This window comes from Homo sapiens, chromosome 6 (genome assembly GCF_000001405.40).
Source record: "Homo sapiens chromosome 6, GRCh38.p14 Primary Assembly".
Classification (NCBI taxonomy): Eukaryota; Metazoa; Chordata; class Mammalia; order Primates; family Hominidae; genus Homo; species Homo sapiens.
Window position 1 is genome coordinate 46,638,076 of NC_000006.12, and position 13,829 is coordinate 46,651,904.

Here is a 13,829-nt window from a genome sequence, read left to right on the forward strand (position 1 = left end):
AGCAGATAATAGGTGACAGATTCTCTTGGGAAAAAGTCACTCTTAAGAAGTTTTGATATTTGCTTACTGTGGTCAAGATAATACAGGGGGAACTGAAACTGTGGTTTGATTTATCTGAAGATATTTAAATGCTTTCTAAACAAGCTTATTAGACTCTGACAAATATGAGATAATAAATAAACTGATCTAATACAATTCAACAATAATTTATTTAGCAAATAATAGTAGCTAAGATATAGTCCATGCCTTTAGACAGCAACAACAACAATAACAACAACAACAACAACAAAGATTCAGGGCAATATTAGTCACCAAATTCCCTAATTTCTCACAGGATCCCATAAATTCAAACTATTGCCCATTGAAATATAGTACATATCATCAATAAGTTTTACCATTAAGAGAATAAAGTGATTACTGTAGCATACTTAAGATAAAGAATATAAAATATTGTTAACATGCCTTAAAACACTTAATACTGTTTATTTAATTTTTATTTACCATCCCTTCATAATTTCCTCCACCCAAAGTTTTAAAAATATCCAAGAATATTTTGTTCATTTCAATATCTTCATTTTGTTATAGATATTGGGTATGCTTCAGCACATTTTTAAATTTGGTTGTTTTTGTGTCCCCCCTCCACCCCCTACTACTGGACCTCTAACAAAATGTTCACTGTCATTCTGAGTCTGAACTGCTCAATCTTGCCTTGGGCATTCCAGGATTCCTGCTGAGATGGCAAAGTGACTCAGGTAACTTCAACTTACGAAATCTCTTTATGCATGTGGGAAATTTTCTCATGTCTCCCATGCCCAGACTTTAACTTTTCCAGAAAGCTTCAGAATGGGGCTGACTCCGTCTGCTGCTCTTCCCTGTCTCTTGGGATCTCCCTTAATAGAGGACCCTGGGGCTCAGTCCTGAGGCCCACACTGACTTTGCCTGAGCCACTTGTTAAGTAACACAAACATCTCCTGGACTTTTTTCACCACTTTATGATTCCATTCTCTCCCCTATCCTCTCAACGTCCTCTCATTCTAATAATAGCAAATTGCACTGAATGTTTTATCAAAATTCTACAGGAAGTATGAAAATTATAAGAAGAAAATCCGTGTAGTTTATACACAAATGTATGGAATGACTAAGGATAAATTACTGCAAATGTATTACAATGACTGTATTGGCTTGTTTGCTCACCATAAAATAGAAATGCTAAACTGAATTAGAATTTAAAAGATTGGTGACAGAGCGAGACTCTATCTCAAAAAAAAATAATTTAAAAGATTAAAATAATCTCTTAATAGCCTAGTTAGGTAGATTTCATTAATCAACCTGACAATGTTTGAAGTCCAATCTATAGGTTTCAATTTTTTTATTTAAAACAAAAAGCAAGACTAAATCATACTAATGCGTCTATTTACCTTACTAAGTTGTTCAGGTCCATTGTCCCATGAGTGCCTAAATTCTCCAGTTGTTCATGTAATTCTTCAGTCAGTTGCCCAGTAAACTGATGGAGATTGACAGTCCCCATTTTCCCTTTCAACATAATATAGAGTTTTTCATGCAGTGCTAAAAAGACATTCTTTGGAATTGATGCTATGAACAAAGAAAACTATTTTCAAAATAAGCAACAACTCCTTGAAACACACAGTCAATATATATCTACTATTATTTGGTCAGCAGGGACTACAGCCAAAGTCCTCTCAGTACATAAGGTCACCTCCCATAAATAAAAGTAGATAAAGATTCAACCTATTCTCGACTGAGTGTGGTGGCTCACAACTGTAATCCCAGAACTTTGGGAGAACAAGGCAGGTGGATCACTTGAGGTCAGAAGTTCCAGACCAGCCTGACCAACATGGTGAAACCCTGTCTCTACTAAAAATAGGAAAATTAGCCGGCTGTGGCGGGCACCTGTAATCCCAGCTACTGGGGAGGCTGAGGCAGAAGAATCGCTTGAACCCAGGAGTTGGAGTCGCAGTGAGCCAACATCACACCACTGCACTCCAGCCTGGGTGACAGAGAGAGACTTTATCTCAAAACAAACAAATAAAAAAGATTCAACGTATTCTGTGAGATGATGGAAATCTATTCACTTTAAGGGATAATCTATAAATGGGTGATTAAGAGAGCTGGTATTTTCAGCCCTTCTCCCTCAAAATCTACAGTCCAGATACATTAAAAACATATTTTACATATCCCAGCATTTCAGAGGCTGTTCTGTCTGCTCAGAATGTTCTCTCCTTTATTATACCCATATCTACTCCCACCCAATCCCACACACTTATACCTATGAGCCTCAAACTTCTCCTGCAAATTTCTATTTGTCCTTCAAGTGTCTTCTTGAACACTACTTCCACCAGGAGGCCTTTCCTAACCCCATGAATAGCTTTGAGCCCACTATTTTCTTTATGTTAGTATTCGTGCTCCTTCTATAACACACATTCCTAATTAGAAATTGTGGTTTATTGTTTACTCATTTCTTTATATTTTTATTTTATCTTGTTTTATTGACCTTGAAGTAACTTTTTCTGTTTTAAAAAAATTTTGAATTTTATTTTAGATTCAAAGGGTACATGTGCAGGTTTGTTATACAAGTATATTGTGTTATGCTGAGGTTTGGGGCATGATTAATCCCATCACTCAGGTAATGAGCACAGTACTCAATAGTTAGTTTTTCAACCTTTGCCCCCTGCCGCCCACCCCCCTCCCTCTAGTAGTCCCCTGTGTCCATTGTTGTCATTTTATTGAAGTAACTTTTTCAAAGAATAAGTTTTAATTTTGTATTTCGTCATCCTATTACGTGTAAGATACATTTTGTGTAAGTTAATGAAAAACAGTTTTTAGATTTCCTGAGCATACATCTTCTCTATGTTACCATACCAGTATAGTATGTATACTATGCTACTATACATATACTATGCTGGTATGTATAGTATGCTACTATACATCTTCTGTATGTATAGTAGCATACATCTACTATATGGGAGGGATGGGAAGCTGACTCAAGAATAAATATTAATATATTTCATCTGTTCAATGAAATATTTAAACATGAAAGTCCCCAGAGGAGGCTCAGGTGAAAAAAACTCAATCATTTCCATACACCTCTGATAGGTAACTTAGTAAATTTTTCTGAAGGGATACGCGACTCTACAGATCAAAGGCCTTCAAAATATTTATATTATTTGATCTAAAATTCCATAGTCCAAGTATCAAGAAGCACTAAATAATCAAATAATTTCACCAACAGGTTGTGATGATCATGCATACAAGAAGAAAAAATATATATAATTCTATTGATTACTGGTAGCTTTTAAAACAAACTTTCTTGTCTTAATGGCAAGAAATGCACAAAAGGTTACATGAAAAGGAACCAAAGAAGAAAAAAGGGAAACAGAGAGAAAGAAGCCACAGAGAATAGAAGCAAGCAAAAACATTGTGAAAGCACAAAAAAGAACCAGACACAAATTGAACCAGCTCTGCGTTCCAGGGAGGACACATGGCCCCAGTACACACAATTGCAGCCTAGGAAGAAATGAAGGCAGACAGCCATACTGGAAGCATGCTGACTGTACAATCTGGTAGTCTCTGAAGATGGAGGATTTGTGAAAGGGCAAGTCAAGCTCCCATTGACCATAACAGCCCTATAAAATTTGTCAGGAAATGCCACTGTAAAGGATTTACTAAGCCATGGAATTCTAGTTTCAGGGACTGAGTAACATGTAACCAGTCCAAGAGCTGTACCCTGTAGAACACTGTATACACAGCAGTGGAACAGAGTTAGTGACATCTTGGAAGCTGTAACATGATACAGATTCCAAATATTCTCTAAAGAAAACATCAATGAGGTAACCTTATCACTTTCACGTGTCTAATTCAAATCTAAATGTATTAGGCTGCCATTCATTTGCATTTCAATGGCCAAACTATTCTACCCATAACTCTTTCCTCTTCTACCCATACCTCAAGAATAAAATAATGGACCCTCATCATTCTTGATAGAGGAATGAGGATGTAATTTTTACCTAAAACTACTCCTGGATTCCAATGTTGGATTTCGAATGGACTATCTGAAAATATTCTTTACCTGTACGATAAACGATATTTTGCACTGCTAGTTCAAAATCTACTTTTTTGGATTTTAGAAACACATTAATTCCTTCTTCTTCAGTAACAAAGGTCATTCGGTTTCCCATAGCAAAGACTGTAAATATTGGTCCATACTGAAATAAAACAAACATAGATTATATTAGTAAGCATTCCTAAGCCATGTTTAAGACCATTCTCCTCAAGAATCCTAATGCTGAAGTTATAGTCAAAAGAAAAATTATTATGATTATATTTGGCAATTAGTTATAAATTTTGATTGTTTCAGCCAGATCTGAATTATATACATTTTAATTTGTTCTGTCCTAATATGTAATATTCCCTTTGATCATTTTATTGCCTATTTATAGCTTCTTTTCTTGTACTATGAAATAAGTAGAAAATAATAATTATAAATAATTAGAAATTATATCAACATTGTGACATTTAAACATTGTTTTCAAGATATTGGTAGACTTATAAGCAACCTATAGCTGAATATTGTTCAACAAAAAGGTTCAAAATTGCCAACTGGTTTATGGGAAATCCATGGTTATTCAACAATGTCTTGCAATCCTATACACTTTTCTAATCTGTTCACTTTCCTAGTTTTCAAAATGATTATTTCACCTGTACAACCTGCCCAACCTCTCCATTCTGACATAGTGTCCCTGCCTTGTAACTCACTAGAAAAATGGAGCAATCAAGTAGCGGTCTCAGTTTCTCGCTACTAAATCCTGCAAGGTATATACATTTGCACCCATTCTCCATGCGTTCCCTCCTCTTAACACGGATGGAGGTTCCTGCCCTTGTGAAATGTCAACACTTCTCCATTTGTGTTATGGATCCTACACTCTTGCCTTCTCTCTTCTACATTTATGACTCTCTCTCTCCTACATCATTAATTTTCCCCTCTTTATCAGATCACTCTTAGCAACCTTTGAACATACTGTAGCACAGGGTTTGATAGCAGGGGTCTATGACCTTGTTGGGAAAAAAAAGTCATCATTTTTATTGGCGTCTAAGTATAATTTAGCAGTTTCTTCAATTATGAATGTGGGCAACAAACCTCAGTCTTCTCCATGACTCTATCATCAAAAGAAATCACCATACTTTCATATTCCATTACAGCATTATACATATCTCAAGGCATAATTTATGCTCATCACTACTTCAGTATTAGTCATTTCTATACCTCCCAAGAGATGACACATGATTACTCCTGCAACACAGTGTTGGGTGCTACTAGGCAACTTGCAGGCCCAAAAATCATTAAGCCACCAGAAAATGAAGTCCCATTTTTGTGCATTAGTGATCCAGACATCTACACTGCTTTCTAACATTCCTATCTGTAATTGTTTGTTAACCAGTAGTTAGAAGATGACTCATTTTCATTGTTAAAGTTTTGTTCAAATGAGAATTCTTAACTTCCCATTAGTAGGTAGCTTTTTGTAACATCTATAAGCACCTGGCCACAAGTGTAGACTAACCACATTCAAATACATTGAATCAGCAGTTGAGATAATTGTTGATGTGAGGCATTTAAAGTAACTGCAATATAACTGCGGAGTAAAAGATGGTCATGCACAGTGTTAGAAATTATGCAACAGGGTTTTGTTGTTGTGTTTGTTTTACTTGCTTTCCTTTTGTTCTTTTTTTGTATGCAATGTCAGCAGCCTCGGTGTTACGAAGTACAGGCAGGCACACACGGTATGTTGTAGAAGTGGTGCTTGTATATTTTTTAACTAAACTTTTTATTTAGAGATAATTGTAGATTATCATGCGGTTGTAAGAAATGTTACAGAAAGAGCCTACGTATCCATTACTGTTTTCCCAGTATTAACATCTTGCAAAACTATAGTACAGTATCACAACCAAGTTATTGACATTGATACAGTCAAGATACAGAATGTTTCCATCACCACAAAGATCTTAAATGATGCCCTTTTATAGCCAGCCCCCACTGTTTCTCTCACTCCTACCTTCTCATTAATCCTTGGCAACCACTAATCTGTTCTCCACTTCTATAACTTTGAATTTCACTATGTCATATAAACAGAAGCATTTAGTATACAATTTTTGGGGACTGGCTTTTCATTCAGTGTAATTCTCTGAATGTTCATCCAAATTGTGTGTATCAATCATTCATTCCTTTATATTTCTGAGTAGTATTCCACTGTATGAATGTACGACAGTTTATTTAAACATTATGAAGGCTGGGCTAGACATGCCTATAATCCTACTGCTTTGGGGGTCTGAGGCAGGAGTATCACTTGAGCCCAGGAGTTTTTGAGGTTGCAGTGAGCTATGATTTGCACCACTGCACTCTGGGCAGGGCAACACAGCAAGACTGTCTCTAAAAATCAAAACAATAAAAATGAATAAGGTTGAAAGACAGTGAGATTCTTTTCAGTTTAGGGCTATCGCAAATAGTGCTTCCATAAACATCCATATCTGGGTTTTTATGTAAACATTAAGTTTCTCTGTGATAAATTCCTAGAAGTGCAATTGCCAGGTCATATGGTTGGCTGCGTGTTTGGATGTTTAAGAAACTGAGAAAGTGTTTTCTGGAGTGGCTGTACCATTTTATATTTCCACCATATGTATAAGTAATCCAGTTTCTCTGTATCCTCACCAATATTTGGTGTTGTTGCAATTTTTATCTTTGCCGTTCTGATAGATGTGTAGTAGTATCTCATGATTTTAATTTGCATATCTCTAATGACTATTGATGTTGAACATCTTTTCGTGTACCAATTTGACATCTGAATATTCTCTTCATTGATACATCTTGTGTATGTCCTCTGCCCATTTTCTAACTGGATTTTGTATTATATTGTTGAGTGTTGACAGTTCTTTATATATTCTAGATACTAGTCCTTTGTTGGATATGTGGTTTGCAAATATTTTATCCCAGTGTGTAGCTTTTCTTTAAATCTTTTTAATGAGCTCTTTTACAGAGCAAATGCTTTTAATTTTGATGAGGTTCAATTTATCAGTTTTTCCTTTTATGAACTGTCCTTTTGGTGTCAAGTCTAAGAGCTATTTTCTATCCCAAATTAGGAAGATATTCTTCTATATTTCTTTCTACAGGTTTTATATCTTTATGTTTTACATTTAAGTCTGTTATCTATTTTGAGTTAATTTTATATCAGATATAGGACTTAGGTAGAAATTCATGTTTTGTGTGTGTTGGGGGTGGTTCTTTGTTGTTGTTTTGTTTGTTTTGGCTTACGCTATCAAATTGCTCCATCACCATTTGTTTAAAAAGGCCATCTTTATTTCATTGAGTTGTTTTTGCACCTTTGCCAAAAATCACTTGGCATGTTTGTGTGGCTCTATCTCTAGATACTCTATTTTGTTCCACTAATCTTTGTGTCTATCCTTCTGCCAGTACTAAATCATCTTGATTAATAATAGGCCTTGAAATTGAGTGGAATGATTCCTCTCATTCTATTCTACTTTTTCAAAATTGTTTTATGTATTTTAGTTTCTTTGTCTTTCCATATAAATTTTAGAATAACCTTGTCTATATCTACAACAAATCTTGCTGGGAATAGCATTTGCATCAAACCTGGATATCAGTTTGGAGGAAACTGACATCTTTAATATGTTGACTTTTCCAATCAGGAACACAGTATGTTTCTCCCTTAAGACCTTTGATTTTTTTCATCAATGTTTTGTGGATTTTAGCATACAAGTTCTAAACATTTTGTTACATTTATACCTAAATATTTCTTGAGTTATTTTAAATGGTAATGTATTTTTAATTATGGTTTCCACATGTTCATTGTTAGTATGTAACCAAACAATTGATATCTTTATGTATACCTTGCATTTATTCCAGAGGTTTTTGTAGACTCCTTGGGATTTTCTACATAGACAATCATGTAATCTGCAAATTAAGACAGTTTTATTTCTTATTTTCGAATCCATATATATTTTCTTTTCTTTTCTTACTTTATTGCACAGGCTAAAATTTCCAGCACTATGCTGAATAAGAGTTGTGACAACAGAGATCTTTGCTTTGTTCCCAATCACATGGGGGAAGTATTTAGTCTTTCATCATTTAAGTGTCCTGTTAACTGCAGGATTTTTGTAGATGTCCTTTATTGAGTTAGGAAATTTCCCTCTATCATGAATCCTGATATCATGAATGGATATCAGGAATGGATATTGAATTTTGTCAAATGCTTTTTCTGTATCAATTATGTGCTTTTTCTTCTTTAGCTTGTTAATACAGCAGCCTATGTGGATTGACAGACTTCACTCGGTAATTCTTTTCATATACTGATAAATTTTATTTGCTGATATTTTGTTATTTCTGCATCTATTAATATATTCATAAGTAATACTTGTCTGTAGTTTTTTTCCGTACTATCTGTGGTTTGAGATCAAGGTAATACCAGCTTCATAAAATAGACTGGGAAATGTTCCTTTGTCTTCTACTTTCTGGAAGAAATGGAACTCATAGTTAATTCTTTTTTAAACATTTGGTATAGTTTTCCAATGATACAATCTGGGCATAGAGAATTCTTTTTGGGAGGTTATCAAAATACAAATTCAATTTCCTTAATAGTGTAGGGCTATTAAAATTATGTATTGTATATTGGATAGTTTTGTTAGAATACGTTTTTCTAAGAATTGATCCATTTTATATAACTTGTTAAATTTATGTTTGTAGAGTTATTCATAGTATTTTCTTATCATCCCTTTTGATGTCTGCAGTGATATTCCCTGTTTCATTCAAACATCGGTCATTGGTGTTTTCTCTATCAGTCTTGCATGAAGTCTGGCAATGTTATTGGTCTTCTCAAAAAACCAGTTCTTTCTTTCATTGATTTTCCTTATTTTTTTTTTTAATTTTCAACTTCATTGATTTCTGTTCCTTACTATTTCCTTCCTTCTGCTTTATTTGGGCTTATTTTACTCTGTTTATAAAAGGAGATGATTCTTGAAAGTTTATCGATTTCAGGTTTTTCTTTTCTAATATAAGCACATAGTGATAGAAATTATGACATGTTGTATTTTTATTTTCATTTGGTTCAATCTATCTTTTATTTTTCAAGAGACTGGGTTAAAATACAAAGACTCAGAAAAATTGAAAGGGATAGAAAAATATGTATCATCCAAACACTAACCAAAACAAAGTTGGTGCAGCTTTAATAATATAAGAGAAAGTAGATTTTAACTCAACATAGATGACTACAGGTAAGACTTCAAATATCGCTTAGAGTGGCTTAAAGGAGGTGCCCTTCCCAAGAGCTGTTTAAGTAGACAAACTGCAGAAGTTGTCTAATTTACCTATTTTAATGTAGGGAACTTTGTCTTTTTGGGGGCTGCTTGACATTTAGATCCTATGCCCACATTTTCAGAATTTCACATTCTACACCTGTTGGTGGGAGGTAGACACCATTTCCCTCATTAGAACCTGAAAAATAATGATGCTTTATTGAGCAAATATTTTTCCAACAATCTACTTAAACTATTTATTGAATATTTTTGCAAAATATCGAACTTCAGCCTAGTACACTTTGGGACACTGTGTTTTCAAGTAATGTTTCCAGTGATGATGAGCATTTTTTCATCTGTCTGTTGGTTGAATAAATGTCTTCTTTTGAGAAGTATCTGTTCATATACTTTGCCCACTTTTTGATGGGGTTGTTTTTTTCTTGTAAATTTGTTTGAGTTCTTTGTAGATTCTGGATATTAGCCCATTGTCAGATGAATAGATTGCAAAAATTTTTTCCCATTCTGTATCACTGGCCATCAAATAAATGCAAATCAAAACCACAATGAGATACCATCTCACACCAGTTAGAATGGCGATCATTATAAAGTCAGGAAACAACAGGTGCTGGAGAGCATGTGGAGAAATAGGAACACTTTTACACTGTTGGTGGGACTGTAAACTAGTTCAACCATTGTGGAAGACAGTGTGGTGATTCCTCAAGGATCTAGAACTAGAAATACCATTTGACCCAGCCATCCCATTACTGGGTATATACCCAAAGGATTATAAATCATGCTGCTATAAAGACACATGCACACGTATGTTTACTGTGGCACTGTTCACAATAGCAAAGACTTGGAACTAACCCAAATGTCCATCAATGATAGACTGGATTAAGAAAATGTGGTACATATACACCATGGAATACTATGCAGCCATAAAAAAGGATGAGTTCATGTCCTTTGTAAGGACGTGGATGAAGCTGGAAACCATCATTCTCAGCAAACTATCACAAGGACAAAAAATCAAACACCACATGTTCTCACTCATAGGCGGGAATTGAACAATGAGAACACTTGGACACAGGAAGGGGAACATCACACACCGGGGCCTGTTGTTGGGTGGGGGGAGGGGGGAGGGGGGAGGGATAGCATTAGGAGATATACCTAATATAAATGATGAGTTACTGGGTTCAGCACACCAACATGGCACATGTATACATATGTAACAAACCAGCATGTTGTGCACATGTACCCTAGAACTTAAAGTATAATAATAAAAAAAAATTATAAACCTACTCTTATGCAAACAGTATTGGCACAACAAGAAAATGATTAAGATGCAGAGAGGGTAGGTCAAAAAGACTAAAAGGATTAATGCAGATTGTTTGATGTATATTAAAACAGTTGGTAAAAGTTAAAAAAAAAAACAAATAATGTTTCCATTGTGTCAACAAATAGATACTTGTAGATAGCTGCAGATTGTCTATACTATTACATGTTTAAAATAACTCTCTCAGAGTGCCAGAAATGTTATCAATGTCTCATGCTTAAAAAATGGTAAATTCTAATAAACAAAAGACTGATATAACCAGGCAGTTTGAAGCATAAACAAAATCTTCTGTCTCAATTATAAAGTACAAAGTATCAGGTTTGCAATATGGGTTTTTCTGTTGTAACAGAATTTCGTAACTAAAGATTGGGTTCTAGCCATCTCAAGGCTCAACTCAGGTAGTCGTATTCACTACCCAGCTGACACGGTTGGTGGCAGAATTTAGTTTTTCACAGGCTACTGGATTGAAGACTTTTGATTTTTACTGGGGTTGGCCAGGGCCTCCCTCTATTTTTTGCCTTGTAGGCCTCTCTATAATGACAGCTTTCATCATCAAAGAGTGCAAACTAGGAAGGCAATTGAGTCTGCTATCAAGATGAAAGCCTAATCACAGAAGTAACATCAGATCACTTGTGCCATATTGTGTTCATTAGAGGTGAGTCACTAGGTTTTGTTGACACTCAAAAGGAAGTGATTACACAAGGGAATCGTTGCAAGATCATTGCAGGTTATCTTAGAAATCTGACTACCATATGTCTATCGATGAGGAAACTTATTAAATAAATGTAGCCATATCCATGCATCTTCAAAGAATTAGGAGTTCTATATGGTACTAATATGTAAAGAGTAAATCCCTACTGACATAGGAACAGTGTGAATAATATGACACATTTTGCTTATAAGGCGGAAAATAAAAATCTATAATTCTATTTGCTTGTATACAGTTAAAGAAACTATGAAACAATATATAAGAAATGAATTACAGTTGCCAAGGTTGGGAGTGAGGAGTGAGAACTGGGTGGAAGGGAAAAAGAGGTTGAAGGGACTTTCCCCGTAGTTTTTATATTTACAATTTTTTGAACCGTATAAATGCATGATCTATTCAAAGATTAAATAAAAATAATGGGAAGATGTTTTTGTGGTCACCAAAGTTGTCTCTTCTCAGTCTTCTAGAGGAGCATGAGAAGCTGAGAGTGTTAGCTAATGATGGAGTTTTAGAAGTTTTTTCTTGAAGGTTCAATACGCCATAAGTAGTGTCTTATGCAGGTGCCATTTAGATGCAATTTCGCATCAAGTCTACTGAGTACCTGTTGCAGCCACTGCGAAAACTCAGAATGGACCCCCACCCAAGATCTGGTTTGGATGTTAAGACAATTACTACATTTACACACACACACACACACACACACACACATACACACATACACACCTTGAGAGGGTATGAAGAGGTTTATTTCATACACAATGAGACTTCTCTGGGGAAAGAAGGGCAGTCCTCTCAAGCTGATCTGAAAATGACTTGAGAAAACAGTGAAAAGAGACAGGTCTTAGGGTTTCATTGTGGTTAGGGGGTAGGCTGGTGTGAGCCTTCCTGCATGAAGGTTGAGGTTTGTGTGATTTGAATCTCCCCTGGCACCAAAGGTGGGAGCACTCTGGCTTTTTTTTTTATCATACTGCCCAGATTAAGGGTACAAGAAAAGACAAGAGTGAACCTTAAAAGCTTTTAGTAGTAAAACATCAAATAATGCAGTCATATTCTTTTTTTTTTTTTTTTTTTTTTTTTTTTTTTTTTTAAGAGACAAGGTCTCGCTCTGTTGCCCAGGCTCGAGTGCAGTGGCTCAATCATAGCTTACCGGAATCTGGAACTCCTGAGCTCAAGCAATCCTCCCGCCTCAGCCTCTCGAGGAGCTGGGACTACAGGCATGTGCCACTGGACCAGATTAAATTTTTTATTTTTCTATTTAGTTTTTGTAGAAATGAGGTCTTGCTATATCTCCCGGGCTGGTCTTAAATTCCTGGCCTCAAGCAATCCTCCCACCCCTGCCTCCCAAAGTGTTGGGATTACAGGTGTGAGACACAGAGTCCAGCAATAACTTGTTTTGTTTAGTCAGGAAAGCAATAGAGACCTCACAAATATTTAGCCTTCTGACACAAGCTTGTAAAAAAACAGTTCCTTAAAAATTATCAAGATCATATGCATAAGGAAGGCTGTGGGAGACAAAGGAGTATTTCTTTAGGAGATATAATGTTTCATCTATCAGACTAGCAAAAATTGCAAAGAATTATGGTATTCAGTATGGCCCAGGATTTGAGAAGTTAGGCAATTGCATACAGTCAATGGAAAATAAAAATTGCATATTCATACTTCTTTTTCCAAAAGTAACACATTCATATAAACAATTTAAGTGTGCATGTCCTTTGACTCAGCAATTCTACTCCTAGGAATTTATTCTGAGTAAACAATCAGATAATTGCAAAATGTACAACCACACAATCAATACATGCACACAAACACGCAAGAATGTTCACTGAAGCACTGGCTGAAAGAAAAAAGTTTGGCAGCAACCTATAAACCCAACTATTGAGATTTAAGTAAACTATTGTATCCTCCTATGACAAAATATAGCCATAAAAGGAAGATTCAAAGTATTTCATGGTACAGGAAAGTCATTCACATTATATGTTAAAATCAAAAGCACATAAAAGAGTATTATACTATTATTCCATTGTTGTTCATTAAATAGTTGTAAATACATAGGAAAATGACCAAAATAATATAAATACACTAAATTTTTACAGTACAGCTGGTGTGATATTCTGGGTTATTTTTATTTTCATCTTAGTTCTCTTTAATTTTCTATATGTTTTTTACTAAATTGGAATCTCAGAGATTTTGAAGGCAAATGATCAGTGGTAAAATAATGCTACTACGTATAAATTCATTCTACAAATTGGGCTAACCAGATGGAAAATGGGTCACCACAGAAAGTATTATAATTCATAAGAATAATTATAATATCATACAAATTTATTAGACAATCAAATACCATAAAATATTTGTGACTGGAAATTGAATAAAACTTAAAAGACATTAATAAAGGTCTGTTCCTTAAAGTGCTCAGACATTTAAAAGATACTTTCAAGACAAAAACATCTACTACAAGGAGGATTACTAGTC

At 35.0% G+C, this 13,829-nt stretch overlaps 1 protein-coding gene across 11 annotated transcripts in view; it reads right to left on the reverse strand.

Annotated features, from left to right (window-relative positions):
* CYP39A1 (cytochrome P450 family 39 subfamily A member 1) overlaps positions 1-13,829 on the reverse strand; it is a 103,239-nt gene that overhangs the window by 88,496 nt on the left and 914 nt on the right. For 7 of the 11 annotated variants that reach the window (XM_017010924.2, NM_016593.5, XM_047418860.1 and 4 more), the window contains exons 2-3: positions 4,088-4,223; positions 1,419-1,593 (exon numbers count right to left, since the gene is read on the reverse strand). In XM_017010924.2, coding sequence (XP_016866413.1) covers positions 1,419-1,593; positions 4,088-4,223 — 311 coding nt within the window. The remainder of the gene's footprint in view (positions 1-1,418; positions 1,594-4,087; positions 4,224-13,829) is intronic. The other 4 variants (NM_001278738.2, XM_017010922.2, XM_047418858.1 and 1 more) reach the window with 2 other exon arrangements.